This window comes from Homo sapiens, chromosome 3 (assembly GCF_000001405.40).
Source record: "Homo sapiens chromosome 3, GRCh38.p14 Primary Assembly".
Classification (NCBI taxonomy): Eukaryota; Metazoa; Chordata; class Mammalia; order Primates; family Hominidae; genus Homo; species Homo sapiens.
The window spans coordinates 148,411,486-148,421,855 of record NC_000003.12 but is presented as its reverse complement, the minus strand read 5'-3'; the positions used below and the strand labels follow the sequence as shown (position 1 = coordinate 148,421,855).

The 10,370-nt window shown below is 43.2% G+C and overlaps 1 annotated feature.

The window, feature by feature from the left end:
* Window positions 1,693–2,476: an enhancer, noted in NCBI's record as "OCT4-NANOG hESC enhancer chr3:148137167-148137950 (GRCh37/hg19 assembly coordinates)". NCBI's record gives its function as "activates a minimal SCP1, AML or CMV promoter by ChIP-STARR-seq in primed H9 embryonic stem cells {active_cell/tissue: H9 hESC(primed)}" and the evidence as "EXISTENCE:reporter gene assay evidence [ECO:0000049][PMID:30033119]".

Here is a 10,370-nt window from a genome sequence, read left to right as displayed (position 1 = left end):
CTCTGTGACAGTACTGCCATAGATTTTCCTGGGTCTGGGATGGAAAAAACAAAAAACAACACAGTCAAATTTTTATACTTTCCCCAGGAACTGACCCCAAGGACTCCTTTTCCTGACTGGGACTGGAAATTGAGGTCTTCTCTTACAGCTTTCTGCCTACATTCAGCCCAGAATTTTGAACTTTATGATGCGTTTCATTCCACCGTGGGAGATACCAGAGGCAAAAAACAAGAAACTCCCCCTTAAATTGGTCTTACTTTGAGTACTCATTTCCTTATTTCATTCTACCTGCTACCATTTAACGTTTCAGAGTCTTCAGATAGCTGCTCAATATATCTGTTTTAGTCATTCGTTGTACTCAACAGGAGAAACAGGGTGACATATGCTTACTTTTATCTGAACTGGAGCCAGAATCTTAAATATATATTGAAAAGATTATATTAGGTACTTTTTAATTTATGTCTATCTTATTTACTTGTTTTTTTCCATATATTGTTAGGCTTAAATGTCCTAAAGCATTCTAGGCAAATAGCACAAATCCCTTTTAAAAAAAGCCCCTCTAAGTATATTCCAGAACCTCAGTTAGTATCTAGCCTCATTACTTCTTTATATTATTCCATTAAATTTTAAGTCCATTTTCTTTAGTTTTAACTATGGTGCATTACATCATTTTCCAAATAAAATGTTGCTTATAAATATCTAGGGGGATTAGAAATTTTAATAACTATTTAAATAAAAATTATTGTAGGTATATATACACATTTTAAAATAATTACACAATGAAGGGAAAGAAAGCAAAATTTTAATAACTATTCCTCTCATTAGAGGAGAAGAACAAATTTTTACCTGTTGGATGCACGTTTACAGTTTGCTGAATATGTACTTCAAAATAAAGTACATATATAGAATGTAATTTTTAGAGGAATTCTTACTTCTGATTGACCTGACATATACCCTAAAAGGTGTTTTATCTCCGTTCTTATGGCTGCCATGTTAGAGAAGGTAGTTATGCAAACATGAGCAGAGTAGGAGAAGGGCTCCACAACAAGGAATGTCAGGCAACTATCAGGTGATGGTCAATCAGTTGTTAAACTGTCGCTTTAAAATCATAATTGGTTGCAGCCAGAGCCAGGGAAAGGCAGTCTCTAATAGCTAGAAAATACCTGAAGCTGGTGATCAGTAGCGTCCCAATAAGATCTCAGGAGTGGGCAAGTGGCCTCAAGCATGCGCACTAAGAGGCAAAATGGTGGCGTTTAAGTGGTATACGATCTACCTCTAGGAAATCTCGACTGATAAGGAAGAAATGCTTCAAGTAAGCATGTGCACAACTTCAGTAAACATACTGTGCATGTGGCCCCTCCTAAGTGCTGGCAGGCTACTACGCATGTGGACAGCCTGCTTCAAGGGAAGAATCAAGGGAGAAAAAAAACCCCTGCAAACCCTGGCACCATGCTAATGTGTAAAATCCCAAGTCAAGAGCTGAACAGGGCACTTGGATCTCTCAAGTCCCCTGCTTGGCCTTCTTCCAAGTGTACTTTACATCTTTTCGTTCCTGGTCTAAAAGTTTTTAATAAACTTTCATTCCTGCTCTAAAACTTGCCTTGGTCTCTCCCTCTGCCTTAAACCTACTTCTGCCCTTCAGCCGAATTCTTGCCTCTGAGGAGGCAAGGATCAAGTTTACTGCAGAGCTGTACAGATTCACTGCTAGCAGCAATCACAACTCATTATGTATTTTCACTTAATAATTATAGGCATACTTTCATGCAAGTCCGTGTGAAGAGACCACCAAAGAGGCTTTATGTGAGCAACATGGCTGTTTATTTCACCTGGGTGCAGGCGGGCTGACTCCGAAAAGAGAGTCAGCGAAGGGAGATGGGGTGGGGTCGTTTTATAGGATTTGGGTAGGTAAAGGAAAATTACCGTCAAAGGGGGGTTGTTCTCTGGTGGGCAGGAGTGGGGGGTCGCAAGGTGCTCAGTGGGGGTGCTTTTTGAGCCAGGATGAGCCAGGAAAAAGACTTTCACAAGGTAATGTCATCAGTTAAGGCAAGGACCAACCATTTACACTTCTTTTGTGGTGGAATGTCATCAGTTAAGGTGGGGCAAGGCATATTCACTTCTTTTGTGATTCTTCAGTTACTTCAGGCCATCTGGGCGTATATGTGCAAGTCACAGGGGATGTGATGGCTTGGCTTGGGCTCAGAGGCTTGACATTCCTGCCTTCTTATATTAATAAGAAAAATAAAACAAAATAGTGTTGAAGTGTTGGGGCAGCGAAAATTTTTGGAGGGTGGTATGGAGAGAGAATGGGCGATGTTTCTCAGGGCTGCTTCAAGCAGGATTAGGGGCAGCGTGGGAACCTAGAGTGGGAGAGATTAAGCTGAAGGGAAGTCTTGTGATAAGGGGTGATATTGTGGGGATGTTAGAAGAAACATTTGTCATATAGAATGATTGGTGATGGCCTAGATACGGTTTTGGATGAATTGAGAAACTAAATGGAATGACAGAAGGAGAAAAACAGGTATAAAAGGTCTAAGAATTGGGACAACTCAGGATATCTGATTAGAGAGTGCCTAAGGAGATTCAGCATAGTCCTGCCCGCAAAGATTATTTATTTACTTCAAGAGTTAAGAGTGGCAGTTTGGGGATAGCACCAGGAGATATCAGCTGTGATGGCTTGGAGAAACAGTGTAAACCGGCAGTGTAAACAAGAGCAGGGTATGTATGAGTAGTTGAGAACGGTGAGTAGGAATATGACTAGACAGAAGATAGTAGGGATGACAAGTTTTTGGGGCACAGTCCAAGTTGGTCTGGTGTCTGGAATGAGACTGGGGCCTAATAAAAAGGAGCGTCTATACAGGAGCTTAAATGGGCTGTACCCTGTAGCATTCCAAAGACAGGCCTGAATTCTGAGAAGGGAAAGTGGTAAAAATATTGTCCAGTCCTTTTTAAGTTGGTGGCTGAGCTTGGTGAGGTGTGTTTTTAAAAGACCTTTAGTCCATTCTACTTTTCTTGAAGATGGAGGACCGTAAGGGATATAAAGGTTTCACTGAATACTAAGAGCCTGAAAAACTGCTTGGCTGATTTGACTAATAAAGGCTGGTCTGTTATCAGACTATATTGAGGTGGGAAGGCTAAACTGAGGAATTATGTCTGACAGAACGGAAGAAATGACTGCGATGGCCTTCTCAGACCCTGTAGGAAAGGCCTCTACCTATCCAGTGAAAGTATCTACCTAGACTAAGACATATTTTAGTAATCTGACTCAGGGCATGTTGAGTAAAGCTAATTTGCCAGTCCTGGGTGGGGCAAATCCTCAAGCTTGATGTGTAGGGAAGGGAGGGGGCCTGAATAATCCCTGAGTAGTAGTAGAATAGCAGATGGAACACTGAGAAGTGATTTCCTTGAGGATAGATTTCCATGATGGAAAGGAAATGAGAGGTTCTAAGAGGCGGGCTAGTGGCTTGTACTATAGCATAACCTGCCTTTGTTGGTGTGTGGCGATTAGGCCTGGTGGAACCACCATCAATAAATCAAGCTTGATCAGGGTGAGGAACAGGAAAGAAGGAAATTTGGGGAAATAGGGTGAATGTCAGGTGGATCAGAGAGATACAGTCATGGGGTCAGGTGAGGTATCAGGAATAATGTGGGAGGCCGGATTGAAGTCTGGGCCAGGAACAACGGTAATTGTGGGAGACTCAACAGAGTGAGTATAGCTGAAGGAGCCGGGGAGCAGAAAGTATATGCATCAGGTATGAGGAAGAAAATAGATTTTGGAAGTTATGAGAACTGTAGAGAGTGAGTTGAGCGTAGTTTGTGATTTTGAGGGCCTCTAAAAGTATTAAAGCAGTGGCAGCCGCTGCACGCAGACATGAGGGCTAGGCTAAAACAGTAAGGTCAAGTTGTTTGGACAGAAAGGCTACAGGGTGTGGTCCTGGCTCTTGTGTAAGAATGCTGACCGCGCTAACCATGCCTAGGAAGGAAAGGAGTTGTTGTTTTGTAGAAGGTGCTTGGGTTTGAGAGATCAGTCGGACATGATTGGCAGGGAGAGCACGTGTGTTTTTATGAGAATTATGCTGAGATAGGTAACAGATGAGGAAGAAATTTGGGCTTGACTGAAGTAATGGGGGCTGTCTGTGAAGCTTTGCAGCAGTACAGCCTAGGTAATTTGCTGAGCTTGATGGGTGTCAGGGTCAGTCCAAGTGAAAGCAAAGAGAGGCTGGGATTAAGGGTGCAAAGGAATAGTAAAGAAAGCATGTTTGAGATCTAGAACAGAATAATGGGTTGTAGAGGCAGGTATTGAGTATATGAGAGTATATGGGTTTGGCACCACGGAGTGGATAAGCAAAACAATTTGGTTGATAAGGCGCAGATCCTGAACTAACGTGTAAGGCTTGTCTGGTTTTAGGACAGGTAAAATGGGGGAATTGTAAGGAGAGTTTATAGGCTTTAAAAGGCCATGCTGTAGCAGGCGAGTGATAACAGGCTTTAATCTTTTTAAAGCGTGCTGCCAGATGGGATATTGGCATTGAGTGGGGTAAGGGTGATTAGGTTTTAATGAGATGCTAAGGGGTGCATGATCGGTCGCCAAGGAGGGAGTAGAGGTATCTTATACTTGTGGGTTAAGGTGGGGGGATACAAGAGGAGGATGCAAAGGAGGCTTTGGATTGGGAAGAAGGGTGGCAATGAGATACAGCTGTAGTCCAGGACTAGTCAGGGAAGGAGATAATTTAGTTAAAGTGTCTCAGCCTAATAAGGGAACTGGGCAGGTGGGGATAACTAAAAAGGAGTGCTTAAAAGAGTATTATCTAAGTTGGCACCAGAGTTGGGGAGTTTTAAGAGGTTTAGAAGCCTGGCCGTCAATCCCCACAACAGTTATGGAGGCAAGGGAAACAGGCCCTTGAGAAGAAGGTAATGTGGAGTGGGTAGCCTCCGTATTGATTAAGAAGGGGACGGACTTACCTTCCACTGTGAGAGTTACCTGATGCTCGGCATCCGTGATGGTCTAAGGGGCTTCCGAGGCAATCGGGCAGTGTCAGTCTTCAGCCGCTAAGCCAAGAAGATCTGGGAAGGAGTCACAGAGCCTTGGGCCAGAGTTCCAGGGGCTCTGGGAGTGGCTGCCAGGTGAGTTGAACAGTCCGATTTTCAGTGGGGTCCCACACAGATGGGACGTGGCTTAAGAGGAATCCCGGGCTGCGGGCATTTCTTGGCCCGGTGGCCAGATTTCTGGCACATGTAGCAAGCTCCTGGGGGAGGAGGTTCTGGAGGAACGCCTGGCCACTGCAGTTCAGGCATTTAGAAGTTCTTGTGTGCTGGAGATGTGGCTGGGGTTTGTCTCACAGTGGAGGCAAGGAATTGCAACTTTTTTCTATTATTGTACACCTTGAAGGCGAGGTTAATTAAATCCTGTTGTGGGGTTTGAGGGCCAGAATTTAATTTTTGGAGTTTTATTTAATGTCGGGAGCAGATTGGGTAATAAAATGTATTTTGAGAATAAGACGGCCTTTTGACCTTTTAGGGTATAGGGCTGTAAAGTGTCTCAGGTTTGCTGCCAAACAAGTCATGAACTGGGCTGGATTTTTATATTTGATGAAAAAGAGCCTAAACGCTATCTGATTTGGGATAAAGAAAAAGGAGCATTAACCTTGACTATGCCTTTAGCTCCAGCCACCTTTTTAAGAGTAAATTGCTGGGCAGGAGGGGGAGGGCTAGTCAGAGAAGGAAACTGTAAGCCGGACCAGGTGTTAGGAGGGGAGGTGATAAAAAGAGTATAGGGTGGGGGAGCAGAGGCTGAGGAAGAATTGGGACCTAGCTCAGCCTGGCGAGGAGCAGCCTGGGGAGGAGGGGAGAGGTCAGATGGGTTTGTAGAAAAGGAAGATTAGAAAGACTCAGCGATGCTTGGGGTTGGTACTGAGGGGACAGGCGGGAGGGAAAGAAGGAAGATATGGGACGAGTTGCACTGGGCACAGAGACTAGGAAGGGACTGATGTGTAAAAGAATGCCTGGACGTCAGGCATCTCAGACCGTTTGCCTATTTTATGACAAGAATTATTTAGATCTTGCAGGATGGAAACATTCAAAGTGCCATTTTCTGGCTATTTGGAACTACTGTCGAGTTTGTATTGGGGTCAAGTGGCATTGCAGAAGAAAATAAGGCATTTAAGTTTTAGGTTAGGTGTGAGTTGAAGAGGTTTTAAGTTTTTGAGAACACAGGCCAAGGGAGTAGAAGGAGGAATGGAGGGTGGAAGGTTGCCTATAGTGAAGGAAGCAAGCCTAGAGAAAAGAGAGAGTAGAGAAATGGAGGGAAGGGGTTTGGGGGTTCTTCCAGAAAAGTGGGAAAAGGGGTTGGGGTGCAGAGATAAGAGGTTGGGGCATGGAAATAAGGGATGGGGTGCAGAAATAAGGGGTCGGGGCATGGAAATAAGGGGTCAGGGCATGGAAATAAGTGGTTGGGGCATGGAAATAAGGGATTGGGGCACAGAGATATAAGAGGTTGGGGTACTTGCCCCTCCTCTAGAAAAGCGGGACTTGCTGCTAAGAGTGAAGGAGAAGGGGTTGAGGGGTACTTGCCCCTCCCCCAGAAAAGCGGGACTTGCCGCTAAGGGTGAAGGAGAAGGGGTTGAGGGGTACTTGCCTCTCCCCCAGAAAAGCAGAGAAGGGGTAGAGACAAGCAGAGAAGGGGTTGGGGTACTTGCCCCTTTCCCAGAAAAGCGGGACTTTCCGCTAAGGGTGAAGGACCAAGGCAGGCGTCCCTGCGTGGTCTGACACCTTTGAAACGTGGATGAATAATCAGAGAGGCGTCCCTGCAATGATTAAACACCAAGGGAAGGCTGCCTTCCCTGTCCGTGACTGGTGCCGGAGTTTTGGGTCCACAGATAAAACATGTCTCCTTTGTCTCTACCAGAAAATGAAAGGAATTGAAATTAAGAGAAGGGAGAGATTGAAGAGTGGAAAGGAGAAAGTGGTTGAGGGACAGTGAGAGAGGTTGGAGAAGAGAGTAAGAAGAGGCCGCTTACCTGATTTAAAATTGGTGAGATGTTCCTTGGGCTGGTCAGTCTGAGGACCTGAGGTCATAGGTGGACCTTTCTCACAGAGCAAAGAGCAGGAGGACAGGGGATTGATCTCCCAACGGAGGTCCCCCAATCCGAGTCACGGCACCAAATTTCATGCGTGTATGTGTGAAGAGACCACCAAACAGGCTTTGTGTGAGCAACATGGCTGTTTATTTCACCTGGGTACAGGCGGGCTGAGTCTGAAAAGAGAGTCAGCGAAGGGAGATAGGGGTGGGGCCGTTTTATAGGATTTGGGTAGGTAAAGGAAAATTATAGTCAAAGGGGGGTTGTTCTCTGGCAGGCAGGAGTGGGGGTCACAAGATGCTCAGTGGGGGTGCTTTTTGAGCCAGGATGAGCCAGGAAAAAGACTTTCACAAGGTAATGTCATCAGTTAAGGCAAGGACCAGCCATTTACACTTCTTTTGTGGTGGAATGTCATCAGTTAAGGTGGGGCAAGGCATATTCACTTCTTTTGTGATTCTTCAGTTACTTCAGGCCATCTGGGCATATATGTGCAAGTCACAGGGAATGTGATGGCTTGGCTTGGGCTCAGAGGCCTGACACATACCAAAACTTTTGTGGTGTTTAGTAAGAAGAATCAAGGTAAGTTCAGGTTTACCTGTTGAGTAAGTGTAAGAACACTGGGGTGAGGGTAGGAGTGGAGGCTATAACTTATCCTTGAAAATAATTATATATGCCTGCCACTATATGCATTTAAAAATCAAAATTGAATAATAACTAAGCTAGTAAAGGAAGAGGTAAAGACTTTTCACAATCAGAAATCAAAAAACAAAAAACAAAAACAGAAAAGCGTTATGTTTCCCTAAGGTGGATCTTTTTGTGGTAGACTATAACAAAGCAATAAAGGAATTGGCAATACTTGCATACTCAGTGGACTATTTAAATATTACTGTGACTGAGAACAAAAGACTTCAAAATTTCCCTAGATCTCTTGTTTAAATCTATATGGGAGTACAGATTTAGAGCTAAATGGAGCACAATCACACAGGGAGACTTTGGAGGCTACAAGGACCATGAATATTGATGGGAACTCACTTCTGTGTTGTGCTCTGAACAAATGACAACAGAGTAGTAAACAACTATTTCCTTGGAGATGCAAATAGATTCCATAGGCTGTGAACTGAAACTCTTTCTCACTCAGATCTTATTCAAAGCAAACAGTGTATTTAGAAGGGTACACATACCCTAACAATTAGACAGGATATGGCAAACTAGAAACAAAGAAATATAATTAGTTCCAACTCCTTATAACTATAAACAAGTTTTTTTCTCTGTCTCACCAAATAAGCTAGAGATGGTATTATCTCTGTTTCACATTTTTTTAAATACATGAGTTCATTCTAGGAAAGTTGCCTTTGAGTATTTAGAAAAATTTTCCTGGACCTGAACTCTACAAGTGCCATCTTTCAGAGCGATACAATAGTTCCTGGAAGATTGTTACTAATGTCATTTTACTCATGTTGAAAAACTCTGTTTTCCAAATAGATAAATTTCTCTTTGGGATCTGCAGAGGCTCATAAGTGACCTTCCAGATACAAGCTGCTATTGAGAGTTAAGGGGATGATCAAAAATCACAGTAGTTGATGCAAAACCTGAATAATAATATTCTAAATAGGGAAATAGGATTCTTTCTTTTTGCCTAGAAAAGGAGCAAAGGCTATTGTATGGAAATTCAGAGAAGGAAAAATGTACTGAGCCTGAACATGGATGAGCAAATTATTAAATTATTAAATGGGGTCAAATAATAAAACTGTCCTTATAGAATTTAGCATGATGTCTATCAATAATTATTACAAAGCATTAGCTTAAAGAACAATAGTTTTTAAAGGGCAGGAAAATTCAGGTTGTTCACAAAACAGACAACAAAAGTAAATTTGTGTATTCCTTCATTTCTGTGGGGGCATAAACGTCTCAAAGTCTATTTTGGAATACCTGTGAGTTCCCTGAGGGCGAGGCTGTGTGTTATTCTTCTTTGTGTTTCCAGGATCCAAGTTGAACTCTAAATTCAGAGGCAAATCAGCAGCCTGTTTTAATGGAAAACCCTAAGATGCCAGTCCATCAGGGGTGTTCAGATATCACTGGAAATGCAGCAGAATGGAAAAAAAAAAGTATTTTCCTGATCTACTCTTAGGAAGACCATTGCATTCTGTTTGAAAGGATTTTTCATATGTCCTTGGTGTAGGCAGTGAGACCTCAATGAGTATGTTCAAGTGATAAAAGATGACTAACTAATTGCCTTCTCAGGAGCATGTTTTTTTTTATTTATGTAATTTACTTTATTTTATTTTTTACCTGTAGGGCTTTAGTGTTCTTCAGCGAAAGGCACAAGTTTGCCAAAGAGCAGAGTAACAAAAGAGCAAAGAGCAAGCTAGAAGTGGGGTTTAAATTCTATCAACAGTAGCTCTCATTTTCTTCCTTACATAAGACTTAGTTTTCTCTCTAAATAAATATTTAAAACTATTCACACAACATTTGTTAAAAGAGGCAGCAAAGTGTTAACCTCCTTGGGGCAGGCACCCACATGATTCAGCCTGGATCTGTTTATAAATCACCATCACAGGTGCTGCACGATGAATGCTACTTTTTTCCCATCTTGACACAGAATGTTCTTGCTAACAGGGAGAAAAGCCAGTACCTTTTCTCTATCCAAACATTTGAGAATTAGGGGCTAGATTTCGCAGATTCTGTTGGAAATTATCAATTTCATCAAAATTTCCTGAAACATTCCTTTTTACCCTCTGATATGGTTTGGCTCTGTGTCCCCACCCAAATCTCACCACGACTTGTAATAATCCCCACGTGTTGTGGGAGGGACTCAGTGGGAGGTAATTGAATTATGGGGGTGGGTTTTCCCATGTATTCTTGTGATAGTGAATAAGACTCATGAAATTTGATGGTTTTATAAAAGCGCAGCTGCCCTGCACACCCCCTTGCCTGCTGCCACGTAAGACATGTCTTGCTTCCCCTTTGCCTTCCATCATGATTGTGAGGCCTCCCCAGCTATGTGGAACTGTGAGTCAATTAAACCTCTTTCCTGTATAAATTACCCAGTCTCAGTTATGTCTTTATTAGCAGTGTGAGAACAGACTGGGGCTGGGCACAGTGGCTCACACCTGTAATCCCAGCACTTTAGGAGGCCAAGGCAGGTGAATCACCTGAGGTCAGGGGTTCGAGACCAGCCTGGCCAACATGGTGAAACCCTGTCTCTACTAAAAATACAAAAATTAGCCAGGCCTAGTGGCGGGTGCCTGTAATCCCAGCTACTCGGGAGGCTGAGGCAGGAGAATTGCTTGAGCCCAG